Source organism: Homo sapiens, chromosome 2 (assembly GCF_000001405.40).
Source record: "Homo sapiens chromosome 2, GRCh38.p14 Primary Assembly".
Classification (NCBI taxonomy): Eukaryota; Metazoa; Chordata; class Mammalia; order Primates; family Hominidae; genus Homo; species Homo sapiens.
In genome coordinates, this window is record NC_000002.12 from 119,741,361 (window position 1) to 119,762,561 (window position 21,201).

The 21,201-nt window shown below is 42.0% G+C and overlaps 1 protein-coding gene and 1 long non-coding RNA gene across 4 annotated transcripts in view, besides 6 other annotated features; one reads left to right on the top strand and one right to left on the bottom strand.

Annotated features, from left to right (window-relative positions):
- The window catches only part of LOC101927764 (uncharacterized), a 41,770-nt gene extending 23,416 nt beyond the window's left edge, over positions 1-18,354 (bottom strand). For all 3 annotated transcript variants that reach the window (XR_007087215.1, XR_007087214.1, XR_001739677.3), the window contains exon 1: positions 18,272-18,354. This is a non-coding gene — a long non-coding RNA (uncharacterized LOC101927764). The remainder of the gene's footprint in view (positions 1-18,271) is intronic.
- Positions 18,104-18,213: a silencer, noted in NCBI's record as "silent region_11912". NCBI's record gives its function as "represses an Ori minimal core promoter by ATAC-STARR-seq in GM12878 lymphoblastoid cells {active_cell/tissue: GM12878}" and the evidence as "EXISTENCE:reporter gene assay evidence [ECO:0000049][PMID:35858748]".
- Positions 18,253-18,547: an enhancer, noted in NCBI's record as "tiled region #5959; HepG2 Activating DNase unmatched - State 1:Tss, and K562 Activating DNase unmatched - State 1:Tss". NCBI's record gives its function as "activates a minimal TATA promoter and a strong SV40 promoter by Sharpr-MPRA in HepG2 and K562 cells {active_cell/tissue: HepG2 | K562}" and the evidence as "EXISTENCE:reporter gene assay evidence [ECO:0000049][PMID:27701403]".
- Positions 18,264-18,523: an enhancer, noted in NCBI's record as "active region_16453". NCBI's record gives its function as "activates an Ori minimal core promoter by ATAC-STARR-seq in GM12878 lymphoblastoid cells {active_cell/tissue: GM12878}" and the evidence as "EXISTENCE:reporter gene assay evidence [ECO:0000049][PMID:35858748]".
- Positions 18,562-21,201, top strand: part of PTPN4 (protein tyrosine phosphatase non-receptor type 4) — a 224,978-nt gene continuing 222,338 nt past the window's right edge. The window contains exon 1 of the mRNA NM_002830.4: positions 18,562-19,024. The gene's annotated coding sequence lies outside the window, so the exon portion shown is untranslated. The remainder of the gene's footprint in view (positions 19,025-21,201) is intronic.
- Positions 18,764-19,063: a silencer, noted in NCBI's record as "silent region_11913". NCBI's record gives its function as "represses an Ori minimal core promoter by ATAC-STARR-seq in GM12878 lymphoblastoid cells {active_cell/tissue: GM12878}" and the evidence as "EXISTENCE:reporter gene assay evidence [ECO:0000049][PMID:35858748]".
- Positions 18,764-19,418: a biological region, named in NCBI's record as "H3K27ac hESC enhancer GRCh37_chr2:120517730-120518354".
- Positions 18,794-19,418: an enhancer, noted in NCBI's record as "H3K27ac hESC enhancer chr2:120517730-120518354 (GRCh37/hg19 assembly coordinates)". NCBI's record gives its function as "activates a minimal SCP1, AML or CMV promoter by ChIP-STARR-seq in primed H9 embryonic stem cells {active_cell/tissue: H9 hESC(primed)}" and the evidence as "EXISTENCE:reporter gene assay evidence [ECO:0000049][PMID:30033119]".

A 21,201-nucleotide genomic window follows, 5' to 3' on the forward strand; every position in this document is an offset into this window, starting at 1 on the left:
ATTTACCAAATGGTTACCTTGGGTTTGGGATTTATTTACTACAGGTTTTCAAGAAGAGAATATCAATTGACCCTTATGGAGACTTGAATCCCATGACACAGTATTATTATTATTATTATTGTTTTGAGGTAGGGTCTCACTCCTGTCACCCAGGCTGGAGTGCAGTGGTGTGATCATGGCTCACTGCAGCCTCAACCCCCCAGGCTCAGGTGATCACCTCAGGTGATCAGCTTCTTAAGTAGCTGGGACTACAGGCATGTGCCACTATGCTTGGATAATTTTTTGTATTTTTAACGAAAATACATTGGTTTTGCCATGTTGCCCAGGCTGGTCTCGAACTCCTCAGCTCAAGCAGTCTGCCCGCCTCAGCCTCCCAAAGTGCTGGGATTACAGGCATGAGCCACTGCACCTGGCCAGACACAGTATTATTAGAACTATGTATGTTCTAACCAAAGCTTCCCCCCAATTCTGTCCCCTCTTTCTATTTCTCTCACCTTCTTTAATCAGCTAAGTGCCTTGTCACCTGTCTTCATTTAAAGTCCCCACTTCCCACTCCCTCCTCGACTCCCTGACATCTGGCTTCCACCTCAGTTTCTCCCTTGAAACTGTCTGGCAAAGGTCATGAATGAATATTAAGTTCCCCACTCCCTTGCACACTTTTACACTCACCGCTTACTCAGCTTTGTGACACATGGCACTGTCAACCCCTTCACAGTCTTCCAAGACTCTCCCCCTTGGTGCCTGGGGCCCTACTCTCTCCTCACCTTCTTCTGAGCTCTCTGGCTGCTCAGTCTCCAGGCTGGTTTACCACAGGGGCCTATTCCCAAATGTTGGGGCTTATTCCCAGGGTTCTTCCCTTTACTTCCTTTCTTCTCTCTCCAGACACTATCCTTACGACATGCACTACCATCTCAGATCTCTAATTCCAGTGCAGGCTGGAGACCTGAGCTGCAGATCTGTATGTTTAATTGACTTTTGGATAGAATTTCACAGGCTTCTCAAGTTCAATTACTTGTATTTATTTATTTAGAAACAGGGTCTTGCTCTGTTGCCAGGCTGGAGTGTAGTGGCACCATCATAGCCCACTGCAGCCTCAAATCCTCAGGCAGTCCTCTAACTTCTGCCTCCCAAGTAGCTAGGACTGGAAGCACATACTACCATGCCTGGTTATTTTTTTTTTTTTTTGTAGAGATGGTTTTTATATGTTTCCCAGACTGGTTTCATATTCCTGATCCTCCTGTCTCGGACTCCCAAAATGCTGGGATTGCTGGTGTTAGTCACTACGCCCGGCTCAACTTCTGCTAAATGGACTAATCATACTCTCTTACTTGCCTTTTCTCTTGTGCCTCCTCATCTTGGTGACTGGCACTACCAGCTAACCAGCCACTTGGCCAAGCCAGAAACCTGGGTTCCGCCATGCAATAGATAGATCAAGTCATATTGTTTCTATTTACCTGGTGTCTCAGGTATCTCTGTTCTCTTGTATATCCACAACTTCCACCCAGACTCAAACATATATCATAACTCTCTGGGTCATTACAAGGGTCTGAAACTGATCCTCCACCTTTATGTTCACCCTAGCCCCCAGCCTATGTGTCACCATCATGATGGTGGTCTTTATAAAATATGGAGATGATCATTTCTCCACTCTTTAGAAGCCTTCTATGGCTCTTCTCTGATGCCAACACATAATTCATGACATAGAAATGCAAAGGCAGCCCGTCTTTTCAGCCATATTGGCTTAGGCTCTCTCCACTCTAGCTGGAGACAGAAAGACATTACATTGCATTTTAATAGGTAAAATGTTTTACCTTTAATAACTTGGGTTGCTTGCATTTTTATAACTCTCTTTGATTTGTCCAGCTCCATTTTGGGAGACCATTATGTAATGATGTGACTAAGCTTCAGTCTGAAACACTGTGTGTCTGATTTGAATTGTTGAAACCTCTAAATTCAAGTTTCCTTATATGCTAAATGGGGATACTAATACTTGCTCAGAGGGGAGTTGGGAGGTGTAAATTCAGTGATATATATAACAGGCATGGCATATGGTAAGTGTCCAATCAATGATAACAGCTACTACTTATAGAGCAGATCTTACTCTGTGCCAGGATGGTTCTAGGTGCTTTTTGTTGTTAGTTCCTTTGATCTTCATAAAAATCTTATGAGGTAGATACCGTTATTCTTATTCTATGGATGGAGAAACAAGCACGGGGGTTTGCATAGCCCATCCAAAATCGCACAGATAGTAAGTGGCAAAGGGAGATTTGAATCCTTGCAGAGTAGGGCCAGAAACTATACTCTTTTGGTTTTGTTTTGTATTTTGAGACAGAGTCTTGCTCTGTCACCCAGGCTGGAGTGCAGTGGTGCGGTCTCGGCTCACTGCAAACTCTGCCTCCCAAGTTCAAGCGATTCTCCTGCCTCAGCTTCCCAAGTACCTGGGATTACAGGAGCGTGCCACCATGCCTGGATAATTTTTGTATTTTTAGTAGAGATGGAGATTCACCATGTTGGCCAGGCTGGTCTTGAACTCCTGACCTCAAGTGATCCACCTGCCTGGGGCTTCTAAAGTGCTGGGATTATAGGCGTGAGCCACCACGCCTGGCCCAGAAACTATACTCTTACCCACTAAGGGACCCTGCCTCTTCATAACTGTTGATCATTTAAATTAGTGCATTTATTTTAACTGTATGTACCAGAAAGTACACTTGGAGTTTTTAATAAATATGTTACAAATGATTTGGAGGAAACATAAAATATAAGGACTAATTTCTAGAATGTTAGTATAAAAGCAATAGAATGTCCTCTACCACACACAAAAAAACCAACCTCTTGATACATTGAAGATGCTTTTTCTTCACTGAATTGATCCAGGGACAAATTGCTTTGACATCATTGATACCAAAATAATTCAGACCAAAATTAAATCTATCATTCTGTAAATTAAGGAGTTTAGAAATTACTTCAAAGAGATTGACATTTTTGCCTTTTTCAAAATTCCCATTTCACAATGCCTTCATTTTGGAAGAGCTTCAAGCCAGAGGCACTTGTGGCTGCCCTTCAGGTAAACTTGACTTTTAGCTGGAGCAAAGTGCTCCACAGTCACAGCATTTACCTAGTTCTTCTTGGTTTGGATTTTTGCCAATCTGGCAACAACCATAGGTGCCCCAGGATGACTGTAGTGGTGCCCCAGGATGACTCAGGGACTGGAGTGTGTGCTTTATGTCAATACAGACAGTTCTCTCACTGCTTGGTCTCAACTCCATGAACACTTGGAAATTTTACCCCTCGCAAAGAGAGGGAGAATAAGTGTACAGGCTTTTAGATCATCCCTTCTCTGGTCTCCAAAATCCTTTAGGGCAGGGACTGTGTTATATTTACCTCTGCAAACCCAGATCCTGGCATGATGCCTGGCACAGAGAAGGCACTTAACTAAGCCAAGTGCTGGTGGGTTTAGAAGTCCTAGTTTATCTTCTTCTTCAACCAGAATTGGTTAAGAATACGGGTTGGGATGACAGAGTACCTACAAGGGACAGATATTGGTACCCTCTCATACAGGAACCTGGATGGTAGTGATAAAATGAGATATCAGTTGATAATATTTGAGAAATTGTCAAGTTGTTGGAAACACATATAACTTCCCCAAATAACTAAGTTGGAAGACTGTACTAGTTTGAATGTGTAGATTCTGGAATTCTTATAACAACAACAACAAAAAAGGCACACCATAATGATCACACTTTATAGTGGCACATGCTTCCTCTTCCCTATAAACCAAATGAAGATATAGTTCCAATTCTCTCCTCTTTTGGTTGATATTTCTCTTGCTCTTTTCCCATTAAGACTACATCTGTGATTCTGTAAAATCTTTCCTTCCCTTTCTTATTACCTAAGCATATAAAACATTCATATGTGGAAAGATTCTGATATGCACGATAATTCCAAATGCTGCAAGCCCAAACAGACTTAGAAAAATTCTCGATCTCCTACCAAAGCATGCTTAAATCAGAAATGTCTTAAAGCACTAAAAGAAAAAGGGAAAAATTTTAGGGCAAAGACCCAATTGTAGTAGCAAGGAAAACCAGTGGTTGAAGAGAGAGTACATGGAAGGGTATTTCCTCCCCACCCCAGGCACTCTGCAGTGACTTGATGGAGCATTGGGCAGGATCTTAAAATAATCCACTCTCCCATCAGACACTATTGAATTACTTATTATCTTCATAAACAAGTACTGCCATTAATTAATAACACTATGTACCAGGCGCTAGGCTAAGTGCTTTGTATGCCATCTCTTTTAATGTTCCTCACACTTTGCAGGTGTCAATAATCCATTTTTAGAGGTTGAGTAATTTGCCTAAGAACCTACAGCAAATAAATCTGTTGTACTCCACAGTCCAACTTCCTTCCACAGAACCAGTATTTCCAAGACAGGCCCAGAGCCTGGCATTGTTAGCAAAGCTGTGCTTATTAGCTGTGTGGGTGAGAGGAGCAAAGGAGTTAAGACCTTCAAAGTGCAGACAGCAGTGCCTGGTAGGGGGCAAGCACTCAATAACGGTTGCCAGTGTGCAGATGCTGTCCTTGATGAGGAGGGCAACCCAGTTTGTCCAGGTCGAAAGGGAGGCTCAGAGCACAGGTTAAGATGGGGCCAGGGCATGTGTTATCCTGACAGTTGCCTGGTAAAAGACCTGATCCAAGAAGGAGAAATGAAAATTAAGGGGAGAGCCTGCTTCAACCAGAGCAACTGGCCCAGATCTCCAAGCTCGTGGGGCCACGTGAGGATTCAATGAAGACCAGGAGGGTTGAGAGAAGGCAGCAAGGAACAGGTAGGGGGATGTTGTCTGGTGGTTTAAGTAACTGTCTTTGGATGCTAGGCACAGGGTGTAGAGCCCCTTCTGTGGAGACCTCAGACCTCTCCCCAATGCTAGCAGCAGCTCTTCAAGGTGTGCCTGATAGAAAGAGCCTGGGAAGAACACATGCCAACCTGACCACAGCAGTCAACTCATGGCCAATGAGGAGGGCCCAAGCTTGGGAGCAGTTGCCAATGGACATGCTTGCCTTGTATGTAATCAATTTTAATATGTTAATAAAATCAAAATGCAGTACCTTTAAAATGGGTCTCATACATGACAGCTCTCTGTCAACTGTGACACACAGTGGAAATGCTGTGTGTGAGAGGGAGATAGAGATGTGCTGGAACGGGGAGGGGCCAGAGGTCTGGATTGCTGGCGATTCGTCCTTCTCCACTGTGGCAGATGCTGCTACGGATCTTCCAGTTTCCAGTCTCCCCTCTCCCTCAGTATTAGAAGTGCAGAAGCCTCACATTTCAGCTGGGAACACTGCAGCCCTGCAGTGGAGGCCACACTTCTCAGGCTCCCTTGCATCAAGGTGTGGCCACATGACTGAGCCCTGGCCAGTGATGAAGTGACATGTGCCAGCTTCAGGAAACTCTCCTTTGAGCTGCAGGCACCTGCCTTTGCCCCCATTTCTTTGTCTCTTCCTCCAGTGGCCGCCTAGAATATGGATGCATTGGAGACCTAATCACCAACTTAGACCATAAAGATGGGAGCCACACCCTAGGGATCGCAGAGCAGGAGCTGGAAAGAGCCTGGGTCCCTGAGGACATCACAGAGCAGGGCCACTATGCCAGCCCAGGAGCGCCTCCCTCAATTATTCACAGGACAGGGACACGAACCTCTCCTTGTATGAGTCACTGTAGTTTAGGTTTTCTGCCAAATGCGGAAGGGACTATCTCAGTCTCTTGGATTCTTTTGTTAATTTTTGCTTCTTCTCTGCCTATGTGCAGGTCTCTTAGGAGCCCCCCTGCTGAACTGAGGAGGCTGAGGCTGACCCGTGTGTCTCAGCCGTTCCCCTTTGTGAGCCCCTAAGTGCCTTACAGACCATGTATTTATTAGTGGTCTATTGTTAATAATCATAGTAAGCTATCCAAGCTGACTTTTTACTGAGCTTCGGAGTTTCATGGTTATAAGAGAATGAAAACCTCAGAATAAAATATTAGGCTCTTTGATCTGTGTGAATAGTCACTCTTGAGCTGTTCTGGGTGTGTTTTTCTGTGATTTCCCAGCTATCGTGCTAAGCGTCGCACTCAGTCTCAGCTGCCTGTTAACGGCAATAGGAGGACTGATGCATTAGCATAACAAGGGATCTGCAGCTAGCCTAGGCGCTCTGAGTACTCCATGCACAGATGGGGTGGACGGTGGGCAGGGACCAGAGCTGGGTGGGGAGGGTGGAAGGGCATCTGAGAACAGGCAGGCATAGAAGGCAAGCGCAGGAGAGGTAGAGTCAGAGGGGTGGACAGAGATGGCTCACTGCCACTTAATAGGTATACAATGAGCATCTCTTGAAGAAAGAAAGGGAGGAGGATGAGAGGGAAAGAAGGAAGGAAAGAAAGAAAGAGGCTGCTAAGACCAAGTGCTAGGCAGCCAAAAAAGCTTTGGGGGTTGCTTCAATAGAATACACAGGACAAGAATGTACATGCAGGTGCACTGGGATAATGCTTCAGCAGGGTGACAAATACACACACACACATGGACACAGGCATATACAGACACATTGACTTATACAGATATACACATAGGTACATGTATGGTAGCCAGCCTCCACGATGGTCCTAATCCTTGCCTCCTGGTATTTACACCCTTATGTCATTCTCTCCTACAATGTATATGTCTGACTTGTGTAACAAATAGAATATTGTAGGCATGATGGTGAGTTCCAAGGCTAGGGCGTAAAAACTTATGGAGGCTTCCACCTTGCCCTCTCCGGGATCACCTTCTCTGCAGGAAGCCAGCCCTCATGTTGTGAGAACACTCAAACAGCACTATGGAGAATTTCACCTTCCAACTGGCCAGCCATGCGGTGAGCCATCTCAAAAACAGATCCTCCAGCCCCATTCTGGCCTTCAGCTCCAGATGATAGCAGCCCTGGCCACAACTTTACAGCAGACCTTAAGCCAGAACCGCCCAGCTAAGCTACTCTCGCTTTCCCAACCCACAGAAGCTGTGAGGTAACAGTTTACTGGGGTTTTATGCCAAAGGAACTTGCTAAGCAGCAATAGACAACTAATATAAACTATATACACACATAACTTTCCATATATATAATTTATAATACAATGCATATATAGTTTTTCATAATTATCAAAATAATGTGGATTTCCTGGAGAAATTTATGAGATAAGTACTATCATGATTCCCATTTTAATTGACAGGGAAACTGAAACACAGACAGTTCAAGTACTTAATCTAAGCAGTAAGTAGAGGAGACAGAATTTGATCTCAGGAAATCTGAGCTTATCACTATCTTATAGGATGGCACACTCTGGCTGACATTTTGTTGTATTTCCCTTCAGTCTTTTAAAAATACAGTTTAAAAAAATTACTAGACTTTATTTTCTAGAGCACTTTTAGGTTTGCAGAAAAATTGAGCAGAAAGTACAAAGAGTTCCCATACATTCCCTCTCCCCTCCCCTTTCACCTGGTTTCCCCTGTTGTTAACATCAGGCATTAGTGTGGTGTGTTTGTTACAACTGAGGAGCTGATATTGATGCATTAAGTTTGAGCTGGCATTAGGTTTCACTGTGTTGTACATTCAATGGGTTTTAACAAATGCATACGGATGTGTATCCACTATTATTGTATCATACAGAATAATTTCCTGCCTTCAAAATCCCGTGCTGCACCTGTTCATCCCTCCCTATGCATGCCATTCTTAAGCAGAGCTAATACTACATATACTAATTTTGCAGTTTTTAAATTAATATTGCATAAGTATTTTTTCATGTCAGTAAAACTTATAAGCATTATTTGTAATACTTGAATACCATTCTATGTGTGCATGGCTAAACCATAGCTCAATTTATTTATTCCCTTTTGTTGGGCATCAGAATTGTTCTCCCAGGACTCTTTTTTTTAAGTCCTGGGATGGAGGACCCTTGACAATTCAACTCAGCATCCTTAATGTAAGTGTGCATTTGTCTAAGGATGTATGTGTCAGCTTTAGCAAGTAGGTACAACTGCTGCAATTCCAACATCCTTAACCTGGCTCTGTCAGAAACTTGGAAACTATTGATTCTGTAAGTTATTTCTAGCCTGCCAGAGCACTTGTACTTATTCTCTCTCCCCCCAACCCCAACTTGGCTTTTAGAATAAGTTTTCATCAGTTCCCAAGAAATGAATCATTGTGAATACAAAATGACTAAGAGCATTTCTTTGGACCCTACACCCCACAACAGACACAGGCTGACCCCCTTGATGCGCTTCCAGGATTAACAAGGATCTGAGAACAAGCAGTATAGAAGTAGGGGCAATAAAGGAAATTGATGTTCTCTGAGATTGATTTGTCAAATATTATGTATATCTTTTGCCTGTTCCCAAATTCCTTCACTTAATTCTAAATTTGATTTTAACAGCCTACAAATTCCTGTTGGATTAAATCTTTATGACTCATCTGTACTTTCAAGTTCCTGTAATTGAAAATTCCATTTATATGTGATTTTCTTATTATTATAGTATCTTCTTTTGCACACCAGAGGACACCTGGGTGTGTATTTCAGGAAGGTATATAGACCTGTTTGGACTGGCCTAATAGTCAGATTGTCATCAATAAGAAGGAATGAGGCACACAAAATTTAAGCCTCACATTTAAGCCTTGCCCTGCCCTCCACCTACAACTCTCTCTCTGTCTCTCTTTCTCTCTCTCTCTCTCTGAAACCTGATGCTCAGATAGAAAGTTGGGTTCTAGGCCAGACGCGGTGGCTCACGCCTGTAATCCCAGCACTTTGGGAGGCCAAGATGTGCAGATCACGAGGTCAGGAGATCGAGACCATCCTGGCTAACATGGTGAAACCTCATCTCTACTAAAAATACAAAAAAATTAGCCAGGCGTGGTGGCGGGTGCCTGTAGTCCCAGCTACTTGGGAGGCTGAGGCAGGAGAATCGCTTGAACCTGGGAGGCAGAGCTTGCAGTGAGCCGAGATCGCGCCACTGCACTCCAGCCTGGCAGCAGAGTGCGACTCTGTCTCAAAAAAAAAAAAAAGTTGGGTTCGAAACTGTGTGACTTCGATAATCCTTAGTGCTAGTATTGACAGGAGAAGAACCTAAAGTAGTTAGAAACTAGAAGTGGTAAACTTGAACCAGCAACTGCAAGACTTTGTAAGTCACTGATTTTGATGAAAGAGACATTTGTCTCACTCATAATGGGCAGTTTGTCTTTTAATTCTGAGAAAGTTAACCTAAAAAGAGTGAAGCACAACCTTAATTTTTGTTTTAATGTGTTCCCGGAAATTCAGATTGAAGAATAAAAATGTATATAACTTGCTGAATGCCTACAATATAATTTAGATAACTTAGTTGGTTTTTCCAGTGAAAATTATTAGGCCACAGTAAAATGCTGGGTTAACCTGTCAACATTCAGTAGAAAATTCAGGAACTATAATAAATAGGGGGCCCAACAGCCTTTACTGAAAATTAATACAAATTTTAGTCAAGTGACTAGCAATAAGCTTTTAAGATCACCATTTGTTATAATCTATTATAAGTTTTGCTTTACCTCCAGCAAAAGTTCTCATATAAAATTGGAAACATTATTTAAACTGTTTAAATATATGATGATAACACATCAAATCTCTAGTATCTCACATCTACAAGATTACAACAGACTTTTGAATTTCCTTCCCCTACACCTCAGGCATAGAACAGACTCCCCTCAGTGCAAAGGTTCCCACGGCAGTGATTACTAACTAGGGATGGGACCTAGAAGGGTGTGGGTGACACATCGAAACTGGGTGGGGAAAGGAAGGGTATTGATGTAGCATCTCAGGTGATTCTGAGATGCCCCTCATGGGGAGATACTACCACTGTTTTAACCAGTGTGCCAGGTTCAATCCTTGCCCAAATGTAATCTCTCCTTCCTCAATACCATGACATTAATTTTTCTTAAATCATTCACTTTATCATCCTACTCCCTTTCTTACACACCTTCATCATCTATCAGTTAATGTTCATACTCTTCAGCTTGACTTTCAAGAAACACTGCACCTCTCCCTCCTACCGTCATCACAAAGCTTCATAAGATTAGAAGTTGGCTGTATCTCCTGTACTACCCCTTGCCATTACATTACCCTTTGAGAATGGTGCAGGAAAAATCAGTTTATTTCAACAATTTTTTTTTTTTTTTAATTTTAGGCTCTAACATGTATGGCTACGGGGGACCCAAGAGTAAACAAAAGCCAGGATCACTGTTCTAAGGAGCACAAAAGTCAACTGGAGAGAAGAGAGGAAACTGGCCATTGCAGCCTCACAGGCTGTGTGCTTTACTTGGGCACAGGGAATTGAGCCTTGAGTGATGGGAGGTCAAGGTGGCTTCTGGGAGGATCCAATCTGAGAGCTGAAATCCAAAAGGTGAGAAGGAATTTGGCAAAGAAAGGGAAGGCAGGACATTAAAGGCAGAAGGAAAAGACTGCATATAAAAGGTGAGAAGGAGTGACCAGCTCAGGATGGATGAGTCATCTGTGGACCAAATCTGTGCGGGAGATAGTTGACATATCTATTGCTGAAAATAATCTGGGGATCACTGAAGTCCAATCACGGTAATGTGGGATATACTTAGAAGTGCTAAAACCAGAGAAATTGTTGACTCAAACCAGTACATTGAACATGCCTGCTTGGTGGCAATGGACAGAAGGGAACATCCTAGAAGTGTGACAGGCTGTCAGAGTCTGTCTGTGCTTATTAAGCACTGTCCAAGGGACAGACACATGCATCAGTTGGGCATGAGTATTGTCATCACTAGAGGGAGATGCTCCATGGTGGGGCTGGGAGAGATCTCTATTCTATGTTCCCTAAATAACCTTCTCATGCCTGGAGACCTCCATATTGGAAAGAGGCTGTCATTATAGCAAACATCAGTATCTGGTCCCTTCCAAAGGCATATTTGCTTTAAAAAAGAGAGTGATTTTACTTTATAACCAGTTTCTTAAAAACAGTTTAGCATATGGACAGTGCCAAGTACCTGATTAATGTGTGTGTTCTGAGAAGATCAAAATTTGGGCTCTGTAAAGCCAAGGACTAGGCTCTGGGCCCTGGTGGCTCCATGGGGCTCTGCCACATGGAAGGCACTAACTAAGAGGTCAGCAGGCCTCCTCTTTAAATGCAATAAGAATGATTTGTGTGTCCTGCTACTACGGTTACTTGTGTGTTTTGCATCTCCTCTGTCTTCTCCTTGCCCCCATCTCCATCTAGAATGTAACATGGAGCAGTGTGACTCAAAGTGCCATGCTGTAAATGGTTTGTCACTGGTCCAAAACAAGATAAATCCAGAAACTGAGAGTAAGAGTTAGAACATTTTAGAGAAATTTGACAGAGTAATTAATTTCTGTTGAATCTGATAAAATATTGGAGTTTGCTTTTTATTATGCTGTATGTCTTTGTTTTTTCATTTCATTTTATAGTAATTCATTTCTACAAAAATATTGGTCCATGGTGAATTGGTCTTTCACCCCAGATAGTTTGAGAAGTACCAATATAGAGGGTAGGGATCCCTGTTTTACATTGATGGTGTATGACATTCAGTGCCTTTCCAAATGTTAACCTGGCTGCACAGTAGAATCACCTTGAGAGCTGAAAAAAATAAATCTTTATATCCCTCTATAGAGAGAAGCTTCAGCTCCACCCTCACCAATTAAATGAGAAGTGAGGTGGGATTAGGGTGTGTCAAGGGCATCTGCATTTACTAAAAACTTCCTTGGTGTTTCTAACTTCCAGCCAGGAATGAAATCCTTAATGTGGGTGGTATCCAATCAATGACCACAGGTTGAATGAATGACTAAAACATGTCAGCCAGCCAACAACAGGTGTTTATTACACAGCTGACGGTGCTGTACCAGGTGCTGAGTAACACATTATAAAGTCATGAAGCTTAATCAAGATTTTCCAATCTGATGATAAAGCTCCTATTACAAAACCAATACAAAACAAAGGGCACAGATTAATAAACCTACAATATTCACCCACAAATAAAGTAACATTTATGCACTATGGATGGATGAAGCCCAACTCTCTCTCTGTCTCTCAAAAGCAAACAGCATATTCAATAACATGTCACCTAATGGGAAAGAGATTTCCTTAGGCTGGTGTCTCCCCGTTGGTCAAAGAATCCACTAGATGTCACTCAAGGTCCCTCAAGGTTCCCTTTCACAGACTGCGTGGTCTTTAATTTTACATCAGATCATTTTCCTCACCAAACTTTGTCCCCACAGTCCAAGGCTCCTAATGGAAACCATGCAAAATGTAAGGCACAGAACATGCTGGTTGTTTGATCTCCTTCCATGGCTTTCCGTAGTACTCTAGGGCCACACCATTCATGCATCTATTCAAGAACAGTAACTGAGGGCTGATGTTCTACGACACATTAGTTTAAGCTGCGGTGGAATCATGATGAGTGAAAATAGCCTTGGTTCTGTCCTCACGGAGTTTACAGTTTAATCTATGAAAGCACTCTTCATTCTAATTTGTGTTGTTTATTTATTTATTAGTTCTCCCTTCAGACCAGAAGCTCTCAAACTTTTTTGGCCGCCACATCCAAGTAAGAAAGAGATTTTATATTGCAATTTATATTCACACAAATGCTCAAACACATAACCAAAGTTAAAGTTTCACAGTACAATGCTTATCTTCATGTTGTGTGATACACTCTGATATTTTCTAGTCTATTCCAGTTCCTTTTTTTTTTCAAAATGCTAGTCATGATCCACCAAATTGATTTCACAATCCACTAATAAGTCACAATCCTAAGAATAAAAAATACTTGACTAGAGGGCAATGGTAACCTCTTGTGCCTAGCAAATAGTAAATGAGCAATATATTTTTTTAAATGAATGAAAATTATGAGGACTAATTTGCATTAATGTTTACATTAAGAAGAAATAGATACAGATTAAGTGGTTTATAATATGTATAATCAGTGTCCTAAGAACACATTTCTATATACACATTACATTCTATATACGCAATTATAATGGATAATTTTTTTCAGATAATCTATACCAGCTATACTAGGTACACTATATATGCTGTCAATGTAATTTATTATTTCAGTCACAATCAAGGACTCACATATTTTAAATTCACATAATTAAAAATATGTTCATCTTGGAAAAAGAAGTCATAAGCAGCAATGAACTCTTTCAGATATTAAAACTCATTATAAATTCCAATAGTAAAAGAGCCTGGGATTAGAGACCACAGCAACAGAATAATGGCCTCCAAAGATCCCTAATCCATAGAACCTGTGAATGTTAGCTTGCATGGTAAAAGGGATTTTGCAGATGTGGTTAAGTTAAAGATTTTGAGATGTGGATATTATCCTGGATTATATGAGTAGACACAATGCAATCACAAAGATCCTTATAAAAGGGAGGCAAGAGGGAGAAAAAAAGGCAGAAAAGATGATGAGAGAGAGACTTGATGCCATGCTACTAGGTTTGAAGATGGTGGAAGGAGCCATGAGCCAAAGAATGCAGGTGGCTTCCAGGAGCTGGAAAAGGCATGGAAACAGATTCTCCCCTAGAGCCTGCCTCCTCAAGGAACACAGCTTGGCAACCTGTTTTGGACTTTTGATGTCCAGAACTGTAAGATAATAAATTTGTGCTCTTTTAAGCCACTAAAGTTATGGTAATTTTCTTGTTTTTTGGGAGTTTGTTTTTTTTTTTTTTTTTTGAGACGGAGTCTCACTCTGTCACCCAGGCGGAGTCCAGTGGTGTGATCTCAGCTCACAGCAACCTCTGCCTCCCAGGTTTAAGTGAATCTCCTGTCTCAGCATCCCGAGTAGCTGGGACTACAGGTGTGTGTCACCACGTCTGGCTAATTTTTTGTATTTTTTTAGTATAGATGGAACCCCACCTATACTATAACTGGCCACCATGTTGGCCAGGCTGGTCTCGAACTCCTGACCTCAAGTGATCCACCCGCCTCGGCCTCCTAAAGTGCTGGGATTACAGGCATGAGCCACCACGTGTGGCCAAATTTATGGTAATTTGTTACAGCAGCAACAAGAAATGAAAATAGAGATGGAGTAAATAAATAGTTCAATGGCATAAAGTAAAAAAAACAGTCTAGATCCAACAAAAACTTCGAGAATTTCATATCTGATGAAAGCAATTTGGTGTGTGTGTGTGTGTGCGTGTATGTGTGTGGGTGTGTGTTTATTCCATAAGGTGGTATTAGGACAACTGGATAGTTATTTAAAAAAAAAAAAAAAGCTACATCTCTATCCCCTTACACCAAAATTATTTCCCAGATAGCAGCAGAAGACCCATTAGCAATCCTGAGATCAGGATCATGGATTTTTAAGTATTTTAAAAACACAACTAAAAGTACTAGAAGAAAATGTGGGATTTTTTTAATGTGAAAAATACAAAACCCAGAATGATAAGGAAGAGGTGGATTATAGCAGTAATAACTCTCACACAGTGAGGCAATCAGTAGTCAATTTGGCAGCATTTATCAAAGTTAAACATGGCCATACACTTCAACCCAGCAATTGCATTTCCACGAATTTGTCTTAAAGAAATGCTTCATTATGTGTACAAAGCTTTATGATGAAAATGTTCTTTAGAGCATTATTTGTAACAGCAAAGTACTAGAAACAGCCTGATGCCCATTAATTAGAGAAAGTTAAATATATTATGGCTCAGCCCTTAGATGACATGTATCTACATGTTTTGTTAAGGAATGATTTCCACACACATTTGTAAGTGAAATATGGTATGATCCCTTGTGTGTGGGGAAAAGAGATGTAGGTTTAGCTTATATATTCAGAGAAAATTCTGGAAGTGTACACAAGAACTGTCAATAGTGCCTATCTTTTGGGAGTGGGACTGACAGTAGGAAGAAGTCTTAGATTTTTAAAATTTTACACTTTTTTGTAGAGTTCCTGATATCAGGATTGCTAATGGGTCTTCTGCTGCTATTCAGCAAGAAAGGAAAAAAAGGAAAGAATTGCTGAAAATGAAGAGGGAGAGCCATGCTCACATGGTGACAAATCTGGGCCAGCTGCCTCAGAGGTATATGGTATAGGATTTTGAATTTTTTTAAGTATATTTAACACAGCTCTGTGATTAAAGGAAGCCCAAGTCACAGAATCCTGAACTTATTGGAAACATGTGTGACACCTCTTTAAAGGTTTAAATTATTTAAATTTGCTTGCTTTTGCTTTTAAGTTATGCATGAAGATTCCAGGCAGGTAAAAAGATGAAATTCTCCCTTAACTGACTAGCTAAGGCAGACAGGTACCTAACCAAGGTCTCCTGTTGGGGACCAGGTTAGATAGGACTCACATTTCACTGAAAGCCTGTATACCTTTGTATGTCCCACCTCACCAGCGTAGGCAACAAAATCAAGTCAGTTTAAGTCATGTGCTTTTTTGAAGTTAAAATTCATACCACTCTGAGCTCTACCTAGCGAGTAGAGTCCAACCTTCTGTTGAGGTTCTTCTCCCTAGGTATCCCCAGTGATCCTACGGTTACTCATTTCTTCCAAAGAAGTCCTCTCCAGTTACTGATAGTGGGTGGCTGGTGAGTCAGCCACAGTGCCTAGTCAAAGTTTCTTCTTCACGGCTGCTGCCTGGGGTCACTGCCAAGGCCCATACAGGCAAGAACAAATGCTTGTTCCCTTCTGGCTGTAGCTACCCAGGGTTAAGAGAGGTCCTACCATTGACCACACAGTGCAAAACGGCCAGTCCTCGCCTGCCAACATCCTCCAAGTGTGGATACAACCTTTGCTCTTACTCTCCCAAAGCACAGTCAAGGGCAGACTGCAGACAAGGAAAAAAAAACAGTCAATAGCAGTGTCTGCCAATATCCAGTAATGTTTGAGGCCACTTTTGAATGAAAAAAAAAATTCTTGCTAACTTCCAACTGTTAAGTCATTTTAATTATGTCTCTTAATTATACATAAACTTTAGGTAATAATTTCTTATTCTTATAGCTCACGTCTATAAAACTAAAACAATTTTAGAAATTAAATTCACAAATTTAAAAAATTCAATTAATATGATGTATGTAATGTGTGGTGAATTATATTTGTTGTTTTGCTGAAATTAAATTGTCCTTTGATATGAGAATATGGAACTCACTGCTATGGTATGTACTTTTTTGTTTGGCATGCTTATAATTGACTTAATTATCTCAACATTCTTCTCTATTTGAATTTCTGTTAAACTTCTGTGCAGTGTGCCGTAAAGGACGTATGACCTTCACTTAGCCAGAATGCTGTCCTTTCCACAAGAAGTATTCTATTCTTTTCCCATTAGCCCCAGAAAATTAAATTTGTGGTTGGTGCCAAATACAAAATCAAGTGCAGGGTTTCGTTACAAGGTGGTCATCAAATGATCCAATATAGTGACTAGAATATATTAACTTTTAAAAGAACATAATTTAAGTAAGAGCAAAATATTTACATATTTTATAGATAATTTGCATATATTTTTTCTTAGACTCCAGTTTAAGGAACAGTAGTCTACACCCCTGCTACTCCAGGGTGGTCCAAAAGCCAGGGAGCTTGTTAGAAAGAGTCTCTAGGCCAGGTGCAGTGGCTCACTCCTGTGATCCTAGCACTTTGGGAGGCCAAGGCAGGAAGATTGCTTGAGGTCAGGAGGGTTCAAGATCAGCCTGGGCAACACAGTGAGAGCCTGTCTCTATTGAAAAAAAAAAAAAAAGAAAGAAATGCAGAATTTCAGGGCCCACTCTAGACCTAATGGATTAGACCATGCCATTTAATAAGAACTCCAGGTGATCAGCATGTATATTAAAGTGTGAGATATACTAATTTATTATTTCCCAATTCAATTTTCAGTGGGCCCATGTGAGCCTGGGGCACAGTCTAAAGCTCTCTCTCTCTTTTTTTTAAGGACAATAATTGCTTCTTCTCTTTCCAGGGTTGCAGGCAGGTAGATTTAAGGTGAACTCAGATTTTTCAAGGAATAATGGTGAGTATTGGTAACTTCAAAGGGTCCATCCTGGTGACTTGCAGGGGAAGTTCCACTCAGGAACTTTTGTGTCTTGCTTAACACCAGACACAAGACTACATGTAAGCCATGTGGCTCACATGTGTAATCCCAGCTACTCCGAAGGTTAAGGTAAGATGATCTCTTGAGCCCAGGAGTTGGAGACCAGCCTGACAACATAGCGAGACCTTGCCTCTAAACAAAAATTACATATTGTATGATTCTATTTATATGAAACATTCAATTTCTGGTGGAAGTCTCATATGATCTTTGGTTGGAGGATGACTGGATGTTGACAGATGACAATGAGGTGAAGAGCATTTTAGCAGAGGGAATGGCATGATCAAAGACAAAATGGAGAGTCAGAGGCAGGAATGCATATTTAGGGAGGAATGAATGAGCACTGGCTACAACAGAGATCTGGGAAGAAAAGCAAGTGAAGGAAGTAAAGCTGGAAACATGGATTGACAAGTTGCCTTTTTCAAATGGAAAAACTAACAGGTGTGAGGGAGAAGAGAGTCAATAGAAATTTCTGTCTTTTCCAGATTTGTTCACATTCCCCTGATTTGTAGTCATTTTGTCGGCTTGGGAAAGTGGTTTTTGAAAGATCGTCTTTATAAAGGTAGGCTCTGATAGGATGCTCAAGCTAAGAGCAAGGAAGGACAAAGAAGGCGCCTGGCGACAGAAAAGGGCACTAACAAAAATTGGGCAAAAAGGAAGTGTGGCGGTCCCCAAATCCCTTCTTCCTCCATTTCAGCTGAGATCATTCGCCAGTAGGCAACTGTGGTATTACCAATAAGTTTGTATCACCAATAAAATATTATAATGCACCTGGCTAAAAACCCTGGCGTGATAACACCAAATTCATGTTATTAGAAGGAATTAAATTTTAAAAAGCACACCGTTCCAGGCACACAGAAGGAGCCCCCGAACGTTTGTTTTATAAACGCAGGTTGGTTGCTGAGGCTTTGTTTTGGAGCCTACGTTTAGGAGAGGAAATGATTCAAAACTGCCCCCCAAAACCTATATCCTCCAGGAGCACTGAGGTTGGGGCGACCTGCTGCCAACTGGTCTGGTTTTCCCTTTTAACACACGCTTCTTGCCCACTATCCGGTCCCTGCGGTCAGTGGGTGCAGCAGGGGTCGCAGTCCAAACAACCAATCGCGACGCGGCTGCGGGGCGGGGGCCACAGCGCTCCGCCTCCCCCCTCCAATCCGCCCTCCCAATCCTCCTAGGCCGCTCTCTCTCGCACCTGCGTGTCCCTCTGCGCTCCGACTGGTGCGACTTCTCCCTGCGCTAGCGAGGCAGGGTTTTGGCCTCGCCTCTCGCGAGATCGCCTCCTGTTGCTGCCGCCGCCGCTCCTGGCCACTGACTGGCGGCGCCTGCGCAGCCGCCATGTTCGGTTGCTATGCTGCGGCCTAGGAGAGGGGGTGTGCTTGAGGGAGGAGGAAGAGATAGAGGAGGAGGAGGGGGAGGAAGAGGAGGTGGAGAAGGAGGGGGGTGACTGAGCTCCTCTTGCACTCTCACACACAAACGCTGCCCAGGATTACCCGCCAGCTCACGCCGCGCAGTGCGCTTTTCCGCTCCTCGCGCCCCACCACCAACATTGTTCTCTCAGGACTCCTGGGTCCCAGGGGCCGGAATTGGGCCTGAGCGGGAGAGGAAAGAGACTTGGCTTTGGCCGCGGGGTCGGAGGATTGGGGCCAGGCCCCCTCCCCCACGCACTTTTGGGGGTGTGGATTATCTCATCCCTGCAGGGAGGTAGGAGAGGTCGCCGGCTGCCCGCCTCCCTGCCACCTCCCCAGCGGCGCCGGCCCGCGGCTGCCCAGCAGCATGAGGTGGTGCTGGCGGCTCCGGGTCGTGGCGCGACCGCTGCGGCGGCGGCTGCTCGGGGGGCGCTGAGGTAGCCCCCCGGAGCGGCACGGAGGACGCGCTTCTCCTCTGCGCGCCGGGGCCTCGAGGCTTTTTTTCTCCAGCCGAGAGGACGCGGCTGTGATATACGAAGGTAAGAGGTTCTCCGGTCCCCGCCGGCCTCTCGGCCCTGCACGTTGAACGGGAGGCTCTTACCTGCATGTGTGGCTCCTGGGAGGTGAGCCAGGTGGGGCAAGCCGGAGGTACGAGGATGATTTGAAAGGAAGGAAAAAAGGACAAAAACAAACAAACAAACAAACAAAAAAACGCTTTCTTTCCTTTCTTCCTGGGACCTCTGCTTTTGCGGGGGTTATAGTTGGAATCTCTGTTATGGGTCAGCGAAGGGCCAAGGGATGGAATAGGTGCGGAGATGGAATGTTCCCAGTACCTAAACTCTAGGTAAAGCTTTGGAATCTTGAGTTTTCCATTGCTGGTAGAATTCCTTTTTTTTTTTTTTTTTTTTTTGGCTCATATGAGCGCTTCTTGCACGCTGCATGAGCCAACTATTCCTACCATTGAAGTTTTAAGCCTGTTATGATTCTACCAGTATATACCTGTATTTGGGAATCTGTAGTTGAGCCAAAAAAAAAAAAAAAAAAAAAGTTGAGATGTGGGTAAACAGTGATGCATTTCGCAGGGTTTCCATAAAATGGAACAGCTTACAGTTGCACAGGTGATGTGTGGATGTTTCTGCAAAACTTAGGGTGGAAGATTTTATGTCTGGGCTTGCATCATGTAGTGACATCAGTATGTACAAGGACGATTTGTAGGATTTTTCAAAACGCCTGTTCTAGGATAACTTGTTATGCATCTGCAATATGCCAGCTGCTTTTCGAATAAGAGGTTTCAGTAATACTAAGTTTCTGTGTCCAGATCTTGGGCCCAGTTGAAACAGTACAGCTGATTGGTCACATTTAAAACATATTTATGGAGAAAGATAAAAGGCCAATGTGTCCGACTTGCAAAAGACAATTAGAGTAGAAAGAAGACTGGAACAGTAAAAGCCAGGGCATTTTTAAATCTTGGTTTTCTGAACTTTAACGTGCCAGAGGAAAAAAATTTTTTTTCAATTTTAAGGGGGAAGGAGATGGCCTTAAAATAAAGGATTGTTCAGAGCCTAAACTGTGCTTAATGGAATAGAGCTAGGTATATCATCTAAATCTTGAATTTGACTAATATAAATTCAGCTTTCTTTTAAAGAAAAAACTCGTAAGCAGAAGTTTGTGTATTCTACAGAACCTCTTCACTAGCTCGTAAGTGTGATCATTTTGTGGACATCACTGTTTTTTTGTTAGAATAAATTTATGCTCCAATTACCACAAAAGCAATTTTTATGTCTCTTCGCATTTTTTATGGTACACATATCTTTGTTACATTTTGCATTGAAACACGCACGGTCCCATAGTATCATAATCTTCAGTGATTTATAAGAGAAACAGTCTATTTTGTACATGGGAATGTTTGTCATGTTGCCAGTCTGTTTTAAAAATTTGGCAAGAGGTTTTTAAAATCCAAGGAGGCACCACTATTTTGTAGTTTTTAAAAATATTAATTGAGTAGGTCCATGTTTATTAAGTTAGAAAATCACGAGTTCCTCAAAAGTAGTAATAGACGAGGATGTGATTTTTCTTACTGCCCATTTTCTAACATCTTAGCTTCAGAGCTGTAGGTATTGAATTGAGTCAAACTTGTGTTTTTTTCTTATGTTCTAATTAAATATCTTTTAAAATGTCCCTAGTAACATTGTTACTTTAAATTTATAACACCCAATTTCTAATTTAGGCTAGGCATAAAACCAGCATTGATTGAACGTACTTGCTAAAAATACTTTCTGGGTCGGATGTACTTAGAATGCAGCCTCAGGAAATTTCATTTGAACTATTCTGTGACCAGTGTACACTTCATTATTGTTGAAGGACTTTTAAAAAAAGTATAGATCTCTCATACTCGATTTAATCAGTTTGAGCATAGATGCCTAACTTTAAAAAAAAAGTATAATAAAGTGGGATAGTAATACAATTTACGTGAGATGGTAATAAAAACTTTTCAGCTTTTTTTTTTAACTTGTATGACTTCGTTAGGTTGTTATTAAACTGTGATTTGTATTTTTAAAATAGTTTTGTCTGTTAAACATAATTGAGGTGTACAGTACAGTATCCATTGTTATCTGTTTAGTATTTATTTATGACTTACAAACTCTAAAAGCGGGATCAGTGATCATGGTTTTTAGTAAGTTGTCTTTAAGGAGCAAAGTAAGAGACTAGCAGAAAA